We start from the raw sequence: 21554 nt of genomic DNA, 5'->3' as shown, positions 1-21554 counted from the left end.
ATCACAATATATTAAAATTATATACCATCACAGTTAACCCATTTATGCCTGAGGTTGCAATTTTTTGAATTTTTGCAGTCAGACCTTGGTGATGACCTTGAGCAATAGAATACAAATAACTCCCACATGCTTAGCACTCCAATAATGGAACACTAGGCATAAATGGGTCAAGAGGGAACTTGAAGTATATCTCAATGTTCAAGACTGAGTTGTCATTTACATAATTATATTTGATTTTAAACTCAACGTTTATTTTCCTGACAAATATTTTAAGGAGACAAACCATACTTTTTTAAATAAACACATCAAGCAATATTTGATCATGAATTATTATTTTTATATGCATACATAAAATACTTCTTGCACAAATTAGTTTATAAATTATTCTCTGGCATTGAACAAATATGTATTGATCACCTTCTATATGTCAAGCACTGTATTAGGTACTTGGAAATATAAATAATTTTATGTTAATATATGATAGGTTAATAAAAATAGAAAACAGTAAAACAATATGAGAAAATCAGCAAATGCTAAGAGAATAGGTTTACCAATTTTATATCAATTGTTTACAAGGTGATTAGAAGAAATCTCATCGAGAAAGTGATATTTCATCTAATATTTGGGGGTGTCAGGCAATGAACAGTGACAATTGTTTGGGAAATAAAGTTGTAGACAAAAGAAACAGCTAGTGCACAACCAGGAGTGTGTCAGGGGTGCAATTTAAAGAGTGGTAATAACAGAGAATTATGTCAGATAAGCAAGTAAGAGTCAGAACCTCAGAGACCATCTGAAAGACTTTAATTTTGACCCTGAAATGGGGAGCTACTGCAGTTTTGAGCAGAGGGGTAACATGGTCTGACATGTTTGGAAACAGTCATTCTGACTGCTGTGGTGAGAGGGAAATACGGCAGAGATGAGGGCAGGAATAGAAGCAGGAAAGCCAGTTAAATGTCTTCTCCAGTTATCCATGTGAGAAAAGAAATTTTCCATGAAATAATATTATTTTGAATACCTTGGAAATCAAGAGAACAAGCTTGATTATTGAAGTATAGAAAAAAATTCAGCCAAATAAAATGTAAATATAATGAGAATGAAATGTGTACATGTTAAAAATTTGACACATTGACAACACATATTAAGAACCATAAAAAGTATACATATTTAAAATGTAAGCCATATAACTCACAATTTTAAATATCTATTGTGAGAGAATGAATAGTTTTAAATTTAATGACTATGAAATTATAGACATTAAAGTTCCTGTAAAATTTAAGAGTAATGGTGTGACATCAAAACACAGTGAAAATAATAATGGAATATTTCAACAGTTGCTTGTATCTTGTAGTAAAGACATACACAATCCTAAGAGAAAATATACTGTAAATAATACACTACAAATAATAAAATATACTATAAATAATAAATAGAATTCTAATATTTCTACTTCCAGTTATTGTTCAATGTAAAGACTTAAATTTAACTTTTTAAAGGAGCATACCCAAAATTGATTCTGTGTGTGTGCAGAGTTCTATGAATCTTTACACATAAAGATTTGTGTAATCACCGTTATAATTAGGATACAAAACATTTCCATTCACACCAAAACTTCCTTCACACTATCCCTGTGCAGCCACACTCTCCCTCACTCCAAACCCTACCAATCACTCATCTGTTCTTTGTCATTATAGTTTGACTTTTCAAGAACATTATATAAAAGTATCATACATTACATGAATTATTTAAGTTGACTTCTTTCACTCAGCATATCTTTGAGATTCATCCAAGTGTTGTTTATATTTATAGTTCACTTATTTTTATTTCTCAGTAGTTTCCTATTATACAAATGTCCCAAAATTTGTTATGCAGTGGCCAGTATAAGATATTCCCTCATTTAAAGACATTTGAGTTATTTCCATTTTTAATGATTATGAATAAAACTGCTATAAGTGTTCATGAATACGATTAATGTTTCATTCTCTAGAGTAATAGGTTTTCATTCTCTATGGTAAATACCCAAGAATAGCATTGCTAAGTCATATGAAAGTATAGTTTAATTTTATAAGAGACTGATAAATCATTTTTTGGAATGGCAATACTGTAATACTACTTCCTATCAGTAAAGTATGAGAGTCCCTGTTACTTGGCATTTTAATTAATAATGGTTGTTTTACTGTTCTATTGTTTTAGTTATTCTAATAATTGTGTAGCAAGCAGCTTGTGATATAAAATATTTTAACGATTATATTTAAAATTTATTCAGTGCCCTTAAAACTTAAGAAGGTATGCTTAAAACTTGAGGGTTTCAGGGCTGATCAAGGAAAAAGACATGATCATGAAGTGGCAATAACATTTAATTGTGTAGGTTTAGGATTACGTGGGAGGGGCATACACAGCAGATGTTTCAGAAACAGAAGCAGAAGGCCAGAACCCAAATCGCAGAGAGGGCAAAGGAGCTCCAGGAAGAAAGGAATATGAGAGTGAGCTTATACATCTGGGTGATGTAGCTCAGCACTATAACTGGAAGTCGATGAGTTAGAGAACTCCAAAGATCAACAGTCGCTTGGTGTCATCTATAGCCTCAGGATGTGTCTTATCTATGACTAACAAATGTTGAGTGAAGTTTTCCTAGATATGTAATGGAGCTAGGCTCTAAAGTGCTAAAAATAGTGCTTATCAGGAGTTTGTTCAGAACAATTGCATGTGTGAAAATTTATGTTTGGCACCATTGGGCTTTTGAGGTAATGGTCTTAGCCTTCTGTGAAGAAGTAAACAATGGTAGAGTTAATTTACCAAGGCCATTGTTGCCTCATTTATATGACAGAAGAAAGTACAACTATATATGGCATTTGATCCAATCAATCACATCAATTGAGTAATACAATTTCTGAATAGAGAATCATAATATTTTATCAATATCTGGATAAACCAAACTTGGAAAATACATCTTTGGTAATTTATTATTTTAATGTTTGATATAGAAACAGTATTTGACCTTCATGTATGAAGAATATTATGGATCATTTAGTAAACTTCCTTATTTAGAAGTAGAGTTGGGAGCATGTTAAGAAATTCATATATGCCAATTCTTTTATAGTAATGCATCGTGTTAATGGAATAGTTTTTCAATTTAATAATATAGTGTGAAGCAGTCAGTGTGTTTGTATGTGAACTAATTGATCTATATTTTAAGTTTATTTGGCAACTATTGTGTTGTTTGTAGTAATCCATTGATTTGTTCAGGCCAAAACACCACTAGATATTACCGGAATAAATGTTCATGTACTTGACTGAAAAATTGCCAAAGGAAGGCTGAGTAAACTAAAGCTGGCTTTTGGCTCTACGTCAGCATGAATCTGAGCTAAATAGAACTAATTTTGATTTAATCTCATTTTTTCCATTATTAACACTATAATTATTTTCAACTGGCCTGGTCATAAGGTCCAAATTATCAGGTCTGATGAGATGAGCTAAAGAGTTTCACAACTATGGAGAGTTCTTTCTTTCTGTACCATATGTTCTCAAAAGAGAAAATAATTAATCAAGATGGGAGAACAAGGGGACTTTATCTTCTTAGATATTTGACAGAAGTTACATTTTTATCTGCATATTAACAATGCAAACATTTATAGTATGGCTAGTGTAAATTTGTATTTTATATATAATAGAAATTTTTGCCTATTTCTTACTTTGTGGATTTATTAATTTATATGTAAGTTTAGAAAGATGTGATTATCTCTAGGGAGGAAAGAGTAGATACCATAACTCATGGTGTCTCTCTGGATAATTTCCTCTTTCCTTTTATTTTTTCTCTCTCCATTCTGTCTTTTCTCTTAGAGGATATTTTATATGTATGTGTGTGTGTGTGTGTGTGTGTGTATACATATATACATATATACACACATATATCAGTGATATATATTATATTAATACATACAATAAAATTATATATATATATATATATATATATATATATATATATATAAAATACACAAACACACACACACACACGCACCAGAAAAAGTATGGAAAAATAAGAAAAGATACAGTAGTAATCCTTTTAGTTTAGGTAATTTCTGTTTAAGAAAGCCAACCAAAATACAGTGACTACTTTGTGAGAATGGACAATTTATCATACTATGACTGTAAATATATTTTCAAATATTTCAGTTGGTTTTAAATATTTATGGGCTAAAAAATATTTGTCTCTCCATGTAAACAGATATTTGAGATCTCTTGAACAGTCTTCTGTTCAAGACTCTCTATGAAACTCTTTTTTATCCATTCATTCATTTAACAAATATTTATCAAACATCTACCAGGTGTCAGGCACTTCTTGCCTTAGCATCTTTGGTATAAAGTTGTATAATAATATTTTATTTTATCTTTTCATTCATTAAATTGTCAGATTTAAAATATCATATACTCTTCATTATATGTACATTCTTATTATCTTAATCATTTGCATATTCCAAATATTGATTTTGAAAGTTATAGTAGGTTCTTTAGTCATTTTGTTTCACACTTAAACTATAATGTTCTCTAAATTTACTCTGCTTACCTGTGCAAAATAATATACAGATAATGACAGCAATTATTCAGAATTAATACCACTGGCATTTAAAATATCACTAGGAACATCAATTGCTTCATCTTTTCTAATAAGTGAAAATATTAATTGAATATCCCCAGTCTCTGTGACATATACACTCAGCACATCCTCTCTCTCATTCTTTCATATACTGTTACAGCTGGCCTTTCAAACCAGCAGGTGCATCTTGCTCAATTAATTTTGGCAAAGTTCACTTAGCAGGAGCCATCTTATCAGATTTTAATGACTGTGTGTATAATTCTATCATAGCAAAAGTGTTTTTCTCTGATTTTCGTAAGGAAAATATAAAAGCATTTTTTAGAACAAATCCTATTAAATATCAACAATTTAAAAATTCTATACTTTTTAATTAAATTTTTTGTAAGATTATTTTGCAAGTACATTACAAAGTTGTGACAATAAGTCTCTCTATTACCTCTGTCTCTATAAATATATATATGCTATTAGGCTTACAATAGTACCTGCAATGATGTTTTATTTGAAACATTGCAATTTCTCCTCAGTGTCTGGCAAAATTCAGTATTTTTAGTAGGCAACAAAAAATGTCTTTGTCTACCCAAACTGTTTTCACAATTATAAGATAAGTGTGTATGTGCTTTGTAGGCAAATATAAACAGGTAGCTTAGATTGGGTATACCCTAAATTACAAACTTTTAATGCATTACATGTACTTGATTAAATTATGTAAATCCTGAACTTAACAACAGAAACTATTTCTGAGCAATTCTATTAACAGAAATAAGTGACATTACTTCAGCTTTGAAGTGATAAATAGGAATTGGAAAATTAGTCCTGAAGTTCTCGAAACATTTCTGAGAGCACCTTATTTGAGTCAGCATAAATTATGCTGTTTTTAGGTATTAATGTTTTGTCTTTATTTGACAGCTAGGATTCTCATGGGATATTCCCTGAGGTTAGGCTGGGAACAAGTATAAGATGGGTGAGGGAGGATTGAGAACTAAGACTACAAAGATGAATCCGTAGTTTCTGTCCTCAAGCAAGTCATAGGTTGGTGGAGAATGAAGACAGAAATGTATACAAAGAAATTATGATGGAAGATGTGATGTGCCACGGTAGAGAATATATGGTTGCTATAACAAACATTCAGTAAAGTACTTTATGCATGATCAGATTTGAATTTTACAGTGATATCTTGAATGACAAGAGTAGAGGATAATTCAGAGTTTAGGAGGTTGCAACTAACCTAGTTATATTCCAAAGATGTTGGTCCAAACTTAGTAGTGCCAATAAGGAAACAGACAATGATAGATACATGTTCAAAATCCACATGATTTTCCATATAGCTTTTTATGAGTGGGGAGGGATGAAGAGTTAAGAAGCAGGATTGCTCCCTGGTTCTCCCTGGATATGATTAAGAAGGTAATATAGGTTTGAGGGTAGGCAGAAATAGTGGTCTAATTTTGTACTTGCTGAGCTTGAGCAGCTACTCAAGCTTTCAATGGCTACTACTGTGGGCCATTTAAAAAGATAAGATGACTGATATTTGAGAATTTGTACCAAACTTGTACACATCTAATTAGGTCTAGGAACATATATAAGAATGTTTAAGCTTGATTTGTAGGTGAAAATATTAATTATCTTTAGCTTGGTAACTTTCAGCTTGATTCCGTGACAATGTAGCATATTAGGGTAAACTTGATTTTTTTTTATTCGTCAGAGTGTGCTAGATTATTTTAGGATAACAAAACAAATAATAGCACTTATTTAGAACAAGAAAGAATTATTTCTTACTTATACAAGGAAACTGCAGTTTCAGATGATATTCCAAGACAACCATCAAGCAAAGGATAGTTCAACTTTGCAATTCCAACATCAATTCCAATCGAGGATTGCTGCTGCATTGAAAGAGAACCTTTGGCCAGGCACAGTGCCTCACATCTATAATTCTAGCACTTAGGAAGGCTGAGGTGGAAGGATTGCTTGAGGCCAGGAATTTGAGACCAGCTTGGGCAACAAAGTGAGACCCCATCTCTACGGAAAAAAAAAGAATTAGCTGAGCATGGTGGCACATGCCTGTGGTCACAGAAACATAGGAGTCTGAGACAGGAGAATCACTTAAGCCCATGAGGTCAAAGCTTTAAGAGCCGTGTTTGTGCCTCTGCACTCCAGCCGATGTGACAGAGGGAGACCTAGTCTAAAAAAATAAATAAATAAAACACAACAACAACAACAACAACAACAAAAGAGAGAAAACAACCTTGGAGAGTCTTCTATCAGCAATTAATTGCTTCCATCTTTAAGTGACACATGGCATATGTTCCATCTGCATAGATTTATTTAGCTAAAACCAATCACAAAGCTATGCCTAAACTCAAGGGGGTAAAGAAGTTCTATACTGACCCTCATGTGCTCAGGAGATAATGGTAAGTAGCACTAACGTCTTCAACAGTTTTGAAGTCAGAAACACTTGAATTTCTCTATATAAGATCATGTTGTCTACAAACAGGGACAGTTTGACTTCCTCCTTTCTAATATGGGTACATTTTATTACTTTCTCATGCCTAATAACTGGCTAGAACTTTCAGTACTATGCTGAATAGAAATGGTGAAATTAGGCATAAAGTTACATACTTCTAATTTGTTGTGAGGTTTTTTTTTTTATCATGAAGGGATGTTGAATTTTGTCAAATGCTTTTTATGCATGTATTAAAATTATCATATGCTTTTGTCTTTCTGTTAATGGGATATGTATCACATGTATTTATTTGCATAAATTAAACCCTCATTGCATGCCTGGGATGATTTCCACTTGATCATAGTGAATGTTCTTTTTTTTATAATTATAAAATAATTGTACAAGAACAGTGGTAATGAATCTTAAAATTAAAACTGAATTGTATTAAGTCATTAAGAGTAAATTTTTTTTTTTTTTGAGACAGAGTCTCACTCTGTCGCTAGGCTGGAGTGCAGTGGTGTGATCTCGACTCACTGCAACCTCCGCCTCTCAGGTTCAAGTGGTTCTCCCGCCTCAGCCTCCTGAGTAGCTGGGACTACCGGCACTCCACCACGCCCAGCTAATTTTTGTATTTTTTAGTAGAGACGGGGTTTCACCATGTTGGCCAGAATGGTCTCGCTCTCCTGACCTCGTGATTCGCCTGCCTCAGCTTCCCAAAGTGCTAGGGTTACGGGTGTGAGCTACCTCGCCCGGCCTGTTCTTTTTAGTGTACTGTGGGATTGAATTTTTTAGGATATTGCTGAAATTTTTTGTATCTGTGTCCCTCAGAGATATGGCCTGTAGCTTGCATCTCTCTCTCTTTCCTTCTTTCTTTCTTTCTCTTTCTTTCTTTCTTCCCTTCCTTCCTTCCTTCTTTCTTTCTTTTTCTTTCTCTCTCTCTTTCTTTCTTTCCCCTTCCTTCCTTCCTTCCTTCCGTCTTTCCTGCATCCTTGTCCGGTATTAAAATCAAAGTAGTGCTACTCTTGTAAAATTAATTTGGAAGTATTTCATTCTGTTCAATTATTTGGAATAGGTTGAGGAAAATTACTATTAATTCTTCTTTAAATTTTTGGTAGAATTCAGCAGTGAACCCATTAGACCCTGAGCTTCTCTTTGATGGAAGACTTTTTGTTACCGATTCAATTTTCTTACTAATTTTTGTTCTGTTCAGATTTTGTATTTCTACAAAATTTAATCTTAGCAGAGTGTACGTATCCAGAAACATATCAATTTTTTCTATGTTATCTAATTTGTTGGCATATAGTTGTTCTTAATACTCTCACATCTCCTTTTGTATTTCTGTGGTGTCAGTTGTAATGATGCATTTTTCACCTGATTTTACTTATTTGAGTCTTCTCTCGTTTTTTTTAGTTTAGTTAAAGATTTGTGAATTTTATCTTTTCAGTCATCCAACTCTTTATTTTGTTCACCTTTAAAATTGTTTTTAGTTTCTATCTTAAAATTCTTTATAGAAAACCTTAAAGATTCTATCAAGAAAAACTGTTGGAACTAATAAATTCAGTAAAGTTTCAGGATGTAAAATCATCATACAAAAATTAGTAGTATGTGTATACACTAAGAGTGAACTATCTGAAAAAGAATTCAAGAAAGCAATTTCATTTGCAACAGCTATAAAAAATAAGATATGTAAGAATCAACTTAACCAAGAAGGAGAAAGATCTCTAAACTGAAAAGTATAAAATTTTTATAAAAGAAATCAAAGAGGACAGAAATAAACGGACATAATCCCATGTTTACAAATGGGAAGAATTGGTATTGTTATGTGGCTGTACTACCCTAAGCAACCTATGCATTTATTACAATCTCTATCAAAATACCAGTAACATTCTTCACAAAAGAAAAATAATTCTAAAATTTATATGGAACCACAAAAAGACGCTAAATAGCCAAAGCAACCCTAAGCAAATATCACAAAGCTAGAGAAATCGGGCTACCTTACTTCAACATACACTACAAAACTAAAGTAACCAAAAGAGCATGGTACTGGCATAAAAACAGATACATGAATCAATGGAACACAATAGGGATCCCAGAAATAAATTCACACATCTACAGTGAACTGATTTTCAACAAAGGTAAGAAGAACACACATTGAGGAAAAGACAATCCCTTCAACAAATGATGCCAGGAAAATTGGATATTTACATGAAGAAGAATGATACTAGACCCCAAACTCTCACCATATACAAAATCAACTCAATATGAATCAAATATTTATATGTAAAATCTGAAAATATGAAACTATTAGAAAACAGGAGAAATGCTTTACAACTTTGGGCTGGGCAAGGATTTTTTTTTTTTAAATAAAACCTCTAAAGCACAGGCAACAAAAGCAAAAATAGGCTAATTTGATTACATCAAACTAACATGCATTTACACAGAAAAGGAAACTATTAGCCAAGTTGAAGAAACAACCTACAAATGAGAGAAAATATGTGCAAATTATACATCTAACAAAGGATTTATATTCAGAATATATAAGAAATTTAACAGCAAAAGAACAAATAATCTGATTTAGCAATGGGCAAAAAAACTTAATATACATTTCTCAAAAGAAGACAAGTGATCAACAGGTATATAAAATATATCCAACATTACTAGTCATCAGGGAAATGCAAATCAAAACCACAATGAAATACCACTTTACTCTAGTTAGAATGGTTATTATCAAAAAGACTAAAGAAAACAAGTGTTGACAAGGATGTGGGGAAAAGGGAACACTTACACACATTGTAATCTAGTAGAGACATTATGGAAAGAAGTATAGAAGTTCCTCAAAAAATGAAAAATAGAACTACCATATGATCCAACAATCCCCCAGTGGTTATGTATCCAAAGAAAATGACATCAGTATTCAAAGAGATATCTGCACTTTCATACTTATTACAGCACAATTTATAATTTCCAAGATATAGAATCAACCTAAAAGTCCAACAAGGGACGAATGGATGAAGAAAATACGGTGTTTATACTCAGTGGAATACTATCTAGCCATCAAAAAGAATGAAATTCTGTTGTTTGTGGTAACATGAATGAACCTGCAGGACATCATGTTAAGTGAAAGAAGCCAGACACAGACAGACAACTATTGCATGATCTCACTCATACCTGGTATCTAAAATAAAAGAAGTTGATATCTTAGAAGCTTAGAGTAGAACAATGGTTACCAGAGACTGTAGGGGGGAGGGGAGAGGAGAGGTTGAGGAGAGCTTGGTCAATAGATACAATTAGATAGAAAGAATAAATTTTGGTGTTCTATTTCACAGTAGGGTGACTATGGTTTACAGTTTAATATTGTATATTACAAAATAGCTAGAAGATAGACTTTTGAATGTTCTCATCACAAAGAAAGGATAAATGCACAGAAGTGACAGATACACTAACTACCCTGATTGGGTCATTATGCAGCATAGATATGTATTGAAACCTCAAAGTGTACCTCATAAATATGTACAATTACAATGTGTCAATTAAGAAAACAAATATTTTTTAAATAAATTTGAGTTTTAAAATCAGTTCTAATTTTTAAATACATAAGCTGAGATTATTGGTGTTCCTCCTAGAATTTGGAATAAAATGCCAAATGCTATCTAAATGTCCTAGCCTACTCCTCTATACATGGTGCAATTAGACAGTACAGTTTGCTTGAAAACAGTATAGAAGTTAAATACATAAATAGTTAAATACACGCTATGTTTGTATATGGACTTCGAACAATAAACCTGCCCATACATACCAACCACACATATGTCTGTGAAAATTTGTTCTTTTAGGGTATATTAGACCATTTATTTTGAAAAATATGAACAAACAAGTAATCAACTTCAGGCTGTGTACTTATAAATGCTTCCCTGTGCTTTGTAGATGAATTTGTTTTTTGAGAACCTTACGGAGCTTGTCTGTGATCTAATGTCCTTCATGTCTTTCTTTAAAAGAAAGTCTTCTTTTGGATTTCTCATTATCAGATTGATTGCCTGTTACAGTTTGTTGGTCAATGGATGTTTGTTCATATTTGTATTCAACAAATTTACATCTTCTCTGATTGTTGATATGGGCCACGTACATGACATATGCAAGTACAGTGATTTATTACTTGCCCATATATAAGAAGACCAATATCTTGGACTGTAAGATACTTGCTAACATAGTTCCCTCAGGCTGGAATAATGCACAGAAAGCTCTTTACTACAACACTTCTTTGAGAACTTCCTTAGGGACAATGTCCATTGACTTTAGCAGTAGTCTGCAAATCTTCTAAATGACATTTTGATTTTAGGCAGATGTTGGTTTCAATTACATAATATTTTTTATTAGGAATATAAATTGAAAATTCCCAGTGAAGTCAACTAATTACATATTATTATCTCGAATGAGGTAATACATTGCAAGCTATAATTTAATTAATCCTACCTTAGTGGCTTCTATACATATGTCTGATACACACTAAAAAACTTAATTATTTTAAGCAGATAAATCTGGCTCAATATTAGAACATCTTATTTAATTCAGAAAATATTTAATTTTGTAAAAAAAAAAATCTTTCCATGTTCTTACTTCTTTCTTTAAAATGTTTTTCATGTTTTATTAAAATCAAAATACATTGTTTTCTATAAAAATGATAAAAATATCCCTTAAATTTTAGGCTGATAATCTTACTATTAGAAAGTTTTATTATACCCTAGTTATTTGTTTACTTCTTGCTATTAATAAGAGCTGACCTCCATTTCACACTAAGTGTGAGGTCATAAGGTACTATTACAAGTGTATGACATATATTAACTAATTTAATTAAATTATTATTAAATTCTACTAATAGTTGCATTTAAGCATATTAAAAATTAAGATTAGTAAAACTTCTCAAAGTTTCTATGAATAGTTTTCAAATTAAAAATTAATTTTCCTTTAAAACATTTAACAAGGCAAAAGATATAAAATTATTTATTTTAAATGAATTGTTCAAATAACAGTTGTTCATTAATAACATACCATTGAATACATTTTTTAAAAAATTAGACACTTTAATTTGGAATCAATATTTATAAAGATAAAATGTTGGAATATGCATTTAATAAAAAGAAATAAAAAGTATAGATCAGTGCCTATATTTAAGAAGTGCTAATTATAATGAGAAGTTTTCACTGTGGAAGTAGCAATTAAAAAAACAGTGTGTTTCATACTCAAATGACTTTATGTTTGCTAACTTTATTTTTTATTGTATTTGAGCAAACTCTTTAAGCTAATGACAAATCCAAGTTATGTGAGTTTAAAATGTGACAATACTGTGTATCTCTAAAGTACTATGTATCCCTAAAGTATTTGACAATACTGTATATCCCTAAAGAACTCTTAAGGATCTGTGATTGTGTATCTTTCAGATATTTATTTATTGAGCATTTACATTGAAAGAAGAATTATTAGATGCTAAAGGGGCATCTGAGTCGTTACTAGAGTGTCAAATAATGCATTTTGATTGAGGTAGTAAATACATAAATTCTTTGAATTAAACAAATGAAAGCATGGTCAAAATTGTGTGTGAGGGGTGTAAATAAACAAATTAATGGTATTTTCTCATTTATCCCCAAATGTGCTATTAGTAAACACTACAAACATGAGTCTTTATTATCTTTCTCTACTTTGTGCCACAATTAAAGGCTCCAACTTAGAATTGGCTACACTACTTATCTGCATGCATTGTCTTTCTATTAATCTAGAAATCTAGATTAATAGAATAGAAAAATTCTATTAATCTAGAAAATAGCAAAGATAAGTGAAGAATAAGTGATAACAACACTAATACCAGTAGTTTATAATTATAAGTATGCCAAAGGAAAAATAAAGCAAAAATTAAAAGAACTATGTGAGTACAAAGCATGTATATACAGCAGTATCTCTGACCCATGAATAAAAGTTAAAAGGGAGATAAATTATGTGTGAATAAAATGGGTGATACCAAAAAAGGGTGAGTTTTGAGTTTCTCAGAAATTTTCATATTAATGATGAGCTAACAAGGCATCAATATTTTAAAACAAAATTCTTCAGCATAAGTCTAGGGATGTTAAATGTTTCTTAGGTGTTGGATGTGGAGATGGGTCACCCACATTTCGCAGGGAGTATCCTATTGCCACTGGTCTTAGGAGTGTAAGTGGCAGGAAAGCTTCAGCCCCTTAAGGGATTGCCTGAGTTGAGAAGCTGCCCTGCTCAAGGTCACACCCATTTCCAGAGCAGAGCACATCTGCATATCTGTGACTGAAAGAGGGAGGGATATAAAGGCCTAGGCCACTTCCACTTCAAGCAAAACAACTCTGATTGGTCATTTTTAGCTTCATAAATCACTGGGTCAGCTAAGTTTCTGGTCACCATATGGAAATCCACTTCTACCTCTGTCAGGACTACTTTCTTTCCCCCTTGATTCCATACATTAAACTCTGTCTCAACATCTGATTCCCAGAGAATCCAATCTGTAACATCTCGTAAATACAATGTAACTTTTAAAAATAATTATATATAAAATTGCACTTCATAAGAATGACTGCTTTTCCCCCTGTACCTAGGATAAAGTTACATTTATTCATAGCTGATTTTCTGTAGAAAGCATGGAACAGACGTGGCAGAATCTAGAAAAAAATGCTATAAAATCTGTGATAACTGTGTTGTATCTGAAGAAATGAATAGGCTAGGATTCTGATGACAGTAATCACACAAGCCAGAACCCAACAAAAACCTGGTTTGTTTTCAAACTGTGTAAGAATGTCAGAATTAGACATGCAATGTTAAAATAAGTGTAAAATTTAGACACATATCTTGTTTTTCACACTTTCTTTAAAAGGCAGCAGTCTCTAGTATCTTCTGTTTTACACACTAAACTATTTTGAAATCTGCCTATGATCACAGAATTTTTTGATGTGCTAAAGTGTTTAAAATACTCAGCTTTTAAAATTTCAATTAGTAAGTGCTAATTAGCATCTAAAATGAGGAAGAGGTCCTAGAGAGGTTGTAATAAAAACCAGGAAGATAAAAAGTTGAGAGGCCCAGCTAAAGGAAGAAATTACTTTAAAACAGAGAAGAGTAGAATTGAAGAACAGAAGGTGGAAAATGAGAGGAAAAAAAGGAAACAAAATATTCTGAGGAAAGTAAAGGGAGGAAATGAACAAGGTCCTTTCTTCGTAAGGCTTATTTTTCTTGCCTTTGCTTTAAAATGAGATACCAAAATCATCTTTGTGTACTTGAATGAATTGTTTGATTTTGTTTGATTTTGTCTCACAATTGAATCTGACCAAAATGAAATTCCATTCAGCTACTAGTAGCTTTCTATTTCCAATACTTAATAATTATAGGCAACAATGTATACTAACCTTAATCTCAGTGTTGTTCTTTTGTTTTCAATTGTACAGATTTCAATAGAAATTTATAAGGTTTGAGAAAGATAACAACCCAATGCATTCTTTTAATTATAAAAATTGCAGAAAAATCTCCTAAGAAATTATTTTCTTCTATGAATTGACAACTCAAATATTTTAATTAGAAAGTTCTTCACCTGTCTTATATGCATCCCAATAAGGGAAATGTCATATGACTGGCCGTCTATGCTATAGGCAGCTGGAGACAATTCTTGAATTTCTTACAGGAAGAGAGCCAAGATAACCATCAGCAAAACAATAGGTAATTGAGAACATCAAGGAAACCATTCTTTAGTAAAGGAAAACAACAGAAGCCTCAGAAGGCAAAACAGAGCAGATGGCCCCAAGAATCTTTTGGACTAGGTTATTTTTGTGCTCGGTCCATAGCTTATGAAAGAAAGTGAATAAAGTGGAAGCAAATTAAGCATTGCATATGGATGTGGGTGTTAGTTTCTTAAGGTGAGAACCAAATTCACAAACCTAACATTAAATCAGAACTGTTGTTTCTAACTAGAATGGCATGCTGTATTGCTTACAGATAAGATTATGTAATCATGTTGAAAAGAATCATACATTGTGAACACAGCCTTCTTGAATGCAATAATTTGGCTGAAACATAAACTGTGTTTATTTGCTTTGACCACTATTTTCATCAAGTCTTAAGTTGCTTTTTGTTTTCATAATAAAATTACCAAAAACATTGCATTTGATATTGCCAAATTGTTAAAAAGATAGAAAAAAATTATTTCAAAGAAGTCAAAAACTTACTCTTCAAAAATATGTTTGTAAGAGCTTTATAAAGCAGTAAAGCAGTGTATACAAGTCTATGTGACTGTGTATGTATATGAGTGTGTGTGCCAATGAACAAAATATCCTATTGTGTTTATCTTTGAAGGCCATAAAAAAGTGTTAATAGAATAAGGACATGTTCTAATGCAGTTTCATGTCAATGAAGCAGTAATGGACAAGTGTTAAGTTGTCCTAACCTGAAAATTAGCACATTTCATAACTGCAATCTCAATGAATTTTAATAAAACTTTTCACAGTTTTAAGAATGATTTCAGCTTTCCTCTTACAGTTTGGGCTAATCATATTAAGGAATTAAAATTGGAAAATTATAAAGCATAATACAATCATGTTAGTCATCTAACTTCTTTATCTTCATTTGTCATTGAATATTGTCCAAATTCCTCAGTACTTCACGTTGGCCCTTAATGCCGTGCAGTGTGTGTATGTGTGAGATTACAATTCCTGATGGAGGCACTTGGAAAAGTGATGGGAGAAATGGGTGAGTTGTGTTTGTATCAGCTTTTTGCAAATACTAGGGAGTACTTGGAATTTAGTGGATAGGGCAAGTGATGTTTAACTTCCCTCAAATAATTTGTCTGAACAAAGAAAAATTTGTCCAAATTGCCAGTAGTATTTCTGCTGAACAACACTTCATCGTAATCTGACTTGACTGTATTTCTGCTAGCTTACATTCATTTCATTCTAATTCACACACTACATCACAGGCAAACTGAGCATCCTATCTTCTTTAACCTGGGTCTTTGTACATTGTTTCCTTTTCCTGAAATGCTTTTCCTTTCTTCCATTCTCTGCCAACATGAAGCTAGACAACTAACTACTTTTCCCAGTTTCAGCCCACAGGTGGCTTCCTTAGCAAAGTGTTCCCTAGCTCCCTCATGATTCATTAGTTATTTATCTCTCTGCATCTGCAAAACACAAACCATTCCACTAATACAATGTGTGCACCTGTTTGTCTGATTTAATGTTGTTTGCATGCTGCTGCCTTCAGACAATGAATCAGTTCTTATTCATCTTTACATATGGAGACTCTAGCACATTGAAATCTATGTGTTCATTAAGTGCCCAATTAATGTCAAATAAAAAAATACAAAGAGCACATGAAAAAGTGAGTAAATCTATGCAAAAAAATAAATACATAGAAATACATGTTACAATGTTTGATCTGGGAAAGTGCTCTTGTTTTGAAAGAAATATCACACATATACACTAAAAAAATTATGAAAGATTTATGACTCAGTACAGTAAATTTATAATTCTAATTATATATATAATTATATACATATATTTATATATATAACTATATACATATATTTATATATATATATACACACACATATATATACACACACACAGAGAGAGAAAGAAAGAGAGTCAGGTTCTGTGAAAATTGCTGGAAATTAGAAGTAGAAAAGCCAATATTGGTACCTACCCTCACAAATATTGCAACATTGGGGAAGACAGATGATTAAGCAAATGAATAAAACAAAGTTTAATTACTGATCTGAACTGTATTTAAAGTCTTACTTCTGTGCAACCTTTAAAAAAGTACTGAATCTTTCTGAATTTTAGCTTACAAAATATATAAAATTTAAAAGGAGACACTTCCTCTCACATACTGGTGATTATGTTATGAGGATTAAGATAGGCTATACAATCATCTAAGACGATGTCTGTTATGTGAGAAGTCTTTAATAATTGATAACTAATATTATATGAAAACTGTATAAATTATTAGAATGGCTTTTTTTCTGTGCCTTCTGTTTTTCTCATAAAGTTTTAAGAATTAATATTTCTTACATTTTGTACTCAAAAACAGAAAATTTGCTTGTAATATTTTATGTTTCTTAATTTTTATGTAATAATATATTAGTTATTTATTTCATAGGCCAGTTTAGATTTAGATCCCATGAACACTGCTTTAACATGTCTTTTGACAATTTAGGATGAATTCAGGAATGTATCAAAGTACAATCAAGAACAATGTTTTGCTTTTTCTTTGCTTTTCGTTACTGTGACTTATTTCCCTCTGGCTTTTTCAGCTTTCTCTCAAGTTAATACTTTCTCAACTCTTAGATGCCTGATATCTTGTCTTGCCATTAATCACTGTGAACTTAACAGCTAGCACAACTCTCAGTATTATCTTGAGTTTAATTCTGTGTACACAGCAATGAATCAAAGTCATGAAAACAGAGGATTGTACCTCTTCAAATCAAAGCATTTAAAAACATTTATATCATTTAAACTTTCAGGCTTAAAAATACTTTTAGTTCTGACAGTTTTCTCTTTGAAGTTAATATAGTTTAAACACACTATCTGGTAAAATTTTACTTGATGAAAAAGTATTAATTAGCTATAATTATTGAAGGTGATTTTGCCAAAAAAATTAATGGCTTCATTAAAAGTATTAACATTTTATTGTTTTTTCTAAAACTACTGTTTCTGTGTTTATTACTCAATATTGATGTATTATCTCTTGTGTCTTAACACCCTTTGGACAAATGATAAACTATAAATTTGCTACATATATGATAAAACAAGTGATCAATTGGGTCCACTAATTGACATTAGGCAAAGTCACTGAGTTTTTGAAAATATTTCGCTATGATTGATTAAAAAAACCTCTGGGTTAAAACCATGTTATTTATACTATGAAAATTTTCAAACTCTACTACTTTTAGTTCAAATTTTATTTCTCCTAAATTATGAGTAGTAAACATGAATCTTATTGATATTATAAGCTAATTGGGAAATTTTATGTGGAAAATTATATATCATAAAATTATGGAAACAAATAGTTTAGGAATTTAAACATTCAGTACATATTAACTTGTTTCTAAAATATTAACTCTTAAAAAGGAAGTTCAGAGAACATCAATAAAGTAGAACTGAATTCAAGATTTTCCATGACGGTTAAATATGAAAACATGATATATTATTTCTATATAAAGGCAAATATTTTAAAAGAATACCTTTTTGGTTTATTTCTGCACTGTTGAGACTGTGTCTTAGTACACATCTTATTAACCAATGATTTTGCTATCTGTTTGAATGTATGCTTTGGCTGTCAGGTAAATTTTTTCATAATCAAAAGTAAGTTTGAATAAACCTAAAATCACATGAAGGAGGAAATCATTAGATCCAAAAAGGGCTACAAGTTTAACAAGTTAAAATATAAATTAGCAGGCAAATTTAATTTTATGCTTTTTTGTTTAAAAAAAAGTGGTAAAATTTTATTCAAAATATTTATTGCTCTGATTTTCTCTTAGGAGAACTTTATAGTTTAGTTGTTAAAGATGAATACTATTATACTTCCCTAATAAATTAAGTTAAACTATAGGCCTGAGCAAAGCAAGCCTTAGCTATTTTTATGTGATCAGTACACAGGATTAATAAAAGTGATCATTTTCCACCTAGTACAAAAAGTTATAAGAAATATTCAATCATGGTGGATTGATGAACCTAGACCTTTGGCTTGTCATACTAGGAACACTTAAATAACCATAAAAATAATTATCAAAACATTAACAATCAAAACTATCCAAGGAGTTTAAAAGACCTTTTTTTTTTTCAGGTACTAACTTGGCAGGCATTAAATTCACTTTCATTTGTTAATGCAGCATTTATTCTAGAGATCTTTTGTCAGATTAATCGAGAAACAAATGCTATGCATAAAGTATTTGGATGTTAAAATAGAAACAAGATAAGGTCTTAGGTGTAGACAGGTAACAAGCTAGTGAAGACTGAAAAAGCATGAATTAATTGAATACATCATTGAGAAATGGAAGCGCAATATATTGGTCCTGCTTCTAGCATCTAAGTATAAATATAATCAAATAGTTGATATAGTTCATTACTTTTCTGTGAAATAAAGGAATTTGTAAAGATGACCTGTTAGGCTCTATAGAAGAAAATGTCATAATTGCAACTAATAATATTTATACTAAATGTTAATCTTGGCTAGAATAGAAGCTCCTAACATAGAAGACCTAAGGTAGACTGCCTAGCAGAATGTTTACCTGGTATTATTCTTTTTATTTTATAGAACAACAAAACCCAATATTTAAAAGGAGGATTAGAAATACTTTATAATTGGCCTAAAGTCACATAGTTTATAGGTGCCTTAAAGGATTACAATCCAACCCTCTCCAAAGACTGACCTTTCCGCTAAGCTGCCCAGCATCCTGGTCTCCCTGTATTAGTAGGCCTTGTGGCAAAGTAAGCACCACTTGTTTATGTTCTTTTTATATAAACTTTCTTGTGAAGGAGGGGAGAATAAATCAATTACATCAACTTTAAACTAGAAGACTTTGAGTCCCATCCTGTACTTGTTTAAAGTCAAAAGTTAGCACTGTGTTGTTGTCTTTAGAATCCACAAAGCCAAAATTTAGTATGGGAAGATTTATTGAAGATAAGCTTTTAAAAAATAGTGCCTGAAATTAGTAAAAATATATATTTTGAGACTATATTGAAGAATAGTGACTCTAGTGTACAATGGGAATATGTGGGTTAAGGAAATTGACTACTCTGTTTCCTTGACAGCAATTTTCAGTAATATGCATATAATTAATGTCCTTCTAATAAAACTGCAGTCTTTAGATTTCAGACACAGACACAGGGACCTTACTTTTAACCATTGAACCATGCTTTAATAATTATTATTAAAGTCTATTATTACTATTATTATTACTTGTTCCATCCAGCTTAGGTTAATTATTTAAAGTGTTCTTCTGATCTTATGGATATAAAGAAAAAGGTATAGGAACTAACATGAGGATTAACTTAGATTTTTTTCATTTAATTTAGACTTATATTTGATTAATATTCTTAACAGTAAGGGAATATTACTACATATATGTGTACATAATGTATATGTAACTATATATGAATATATGTGTATATGCACGTATGTGTATATATGTGTATATGCACGTATGTGTATATATGTGTATATGCACATATGTGTATATATGTGTATGTGTGTATATGATGTATACGTATATGTGTATAGACACATATATGTGCCTCTACACATGTTTATATGTGTGTATATGTGTATATGATGTATATGTATATGTGTATATACACATATGTGTGTATACATGTATGCGTATCATGTGTCCATAAGTATATGTATATACATACATGTGTCTATACATATAAGTATATGCGCATATGTGTATATATGTGCATGTGTATGGCGTATATGTACATATGGCTATATGTGTACATATATGTACATATATGGCTATATGTGTACATACATGTATGCATATATGTCTATATGTGTACATACATGTATGCATATATGTCTATATGTGTACATACATGTATGCATATATGTCTATATGTGTACACACATGTATGCATATATGCATGCATACATGTCTATATGTTTGCATATATGTATACACATATGTCTATATGTTCACATACATGTGTATATGATGCATACATATATGTGCGCACATATGTATATGATGTGCACATATGTGCTCATATATGTGTATGATGTGTACATATATGTATGATGTGTACATATATGATCCACATATATGTATATGCATATGCATGTATGTATAGACACATACATATCACATATATGCATGCTCCCGTATGTCTGTGTATATATGTGTGTATATTTACAGATATGTGTACATATATACATATACGCACATATGTATATATACATATATGTACATATGTATGTGCATGTATATACGTATATACATATATGTACATATGTATGTGCATGTATATATACATATATGTACATATGTATGTGTATATGTATGTATATATGTACATATGTATGTGTATATGTATGTATATATGTACATATACACATATGCATGTGTGTGTGTCTATATATTTTTTTTTAATTTTTTATTTTTTATTTTTATTTTTTGAGATGGAGTCTCGCTCTGTCACCCAGCCTGGAGTGCAGTGGCACAATCTTGACTCACTGCAACCTCCACCTCCTGGGTTCAAACAATTCTCCTGCCTCAGACACCCAGATACCTGGGACTATATGCATGCTCCACTAAGCCCTGCTAATTTTTTTATAGTTTTAGTAGAGACGGGGTTTCACTATGTTAGCCAGGATGGTCTCAATCTCCTGACCTCGTGATCTGCCCCCCTGACCTCCCAAAGTGCTGGGATTACAGGCATGAACCACTGTGCCTGGCCTATTCATTTTTAAAATTTATGAAAAACAGTAGTTTACAGCAGTATGAAGTAATAAAATTGCCTTACCATAAAA

The 21554-nt window shown here is 31.4% G+C and overlaps 1 protein-coding gene across 4 annotated transcripts in view, besides 9 other annotated features; it reads left to right on the top strand.

Moving 5' to 3' along the window:
* Positions 1-21554, top strand: part of EYS (eyes shut homolog) — a 1987247-nt gene that overhangs the window by 243273 nt on the left and 1722420 nt on the right. The gene's annotated exons all lie outside the window — the stretch shown is intronic.
* Positions 10638-10807: an enhancer, noted in NCBI's record as "experimental_92831 CRE fragment used in MPRA reporter constructs". NCBI's record gives its function as "activates a minimal promoter by MPRAs in K562 erythroleukemia cells, with activity observed for the non-introgressed 6:66163125 variant allele {active_cell/tissue: K562}" and the evidence as "EXISTENCE:reporter gene assay evidence [ECO:0000049][PMID:34662402]".
* Positions 12950-13119: an enhancer, noted in NCBI's record as "experimental_92778 CRE fragment used in MPRA reporter constructs". NCBI's record gives its function as "activates a minimal promoter by MPRAs in K562 erythroleukemia cells, with activity observed for both the introgressed and non-introgressed 6:66160813 variant alleles {active_cell/tissue: K562}" and the evidence as "EXISTENCE:reporter gene assay evidence [ECO:0000049][PMID:34662402]".
* Positions 12950-13179: a biological region, named in NCBI's record as "Neanderthal introgressed variant-containing enhancers experimental_92772 and experimental_92778".
* Positions 13010-13179: an enhancer, noted in NCBI's record as "experimental_92772 CRE fragment used in MPRA reporter constructs". NCBI's record gives its function as "activates a minimal promoter by MPRAs in K562 erythroleukemia cells, with activity observed for the non-introgressed 6:66160753 variant allele {active_cell/tissue: K562}" and the evidence as "EXISTENCE:reporter gene assay evidence [ECO:0000049][PMID:34662402]".
* Positions 13203-13372: an enhancer, noted in NCBI's record as "experimental_92766 CRE fragment used in MPRA reporter constructs". NCBI's record gives its function as "activates a minimal promoter by MPRAs in K562 erythroleukemia cells, with activity observed for both the introgressed and non-introgressed 6:66160560 variant alleles {active_cell/tissue: K562}" and the evidence as "EXISTENCE:reporter gene assay evidence [ECO:0000049][PMID:34662402]".
* Positions 16862-17031: an enhancer, noted in NCBI's record as "experimental_92672 CRE fragment used in MPRA reporter constructs". NCBI's record gives its function as "activates a minimal promoter by MPRAs in K562 erythroleukemia cells, with activity observed for both the introgressed and non-introgressed 6:66156901 variant alleles {active_cell/tissue: K562}" and the evidence as "EXISTENCE:reporter gene assay evidence [ECO:0000049][PMID:34662402]".
* Positions 18756-18925: an enhancer, noted in NCBI's record as "experimental_92656 CRE fragment used in MPRA reporter constructs". NCBI's record gives its function as "activates a minimal promoter by MPRAs in K562 erythroleukemia cells, with activity observed for both the introgressed and non-introgressed 6:66155007 variant alleles {active_cell/tissue: K562}" and the evidence as "EXISTENCE:reporter gene assay evidence [ECO:0000049][PMID:34662402]".
* Positions 19431-19600: an enhancer, noted in NCBI's record as "experimental_92651 CRE fragment used in MPRA reporter constructs". NCBI's record gives its function as "activates a minimal promoter by MPRAs in K562 erythroleukemia cells, with activity observed for the introgressed 6:66154332 or rs10944799 variant allele {active_cell/tissue: K562}" and the evidence as "EXISTENCE:reporter gene assay evidence [ECO:0000049][PMID:34662402]".
* Position 19515: a transcriptional cis regulatory region, noted in NCBI's record as "Neanderthal adaptively introgressed variant 6:66154332 (GRCh37/hg19 assembly coordinates) or rs10944799 in the experimental_92651 CRE". NCBI's record gives its function as "modulates activity of the experimental_92651 enhancer by MPRAs in K562 erythroleukemia cells {active_cell/tissue: K562}" and the evidence as "EXISTENCE:reporter gene assay evidence [ECO:0000049][PMID:34662402]".

This window comes from Homo sapiens, chromosome 6 (genome assembly GCF_000001405.40).
Source record: "Homo sapiens chromosome 6, GRCh38.p14 Primary Assembly".
NCBI classification, from domain to species: Eukaryota; Metazoa; Chordata; class Mammalia; order Primates; family Hominidae; genus Homo; species Homo sapiens.
The sequence above is the reverse complement of the archived record's forward strand: the minus strand, read 5'-3'. Positions and strand labels throughout refer to the sequence as shown.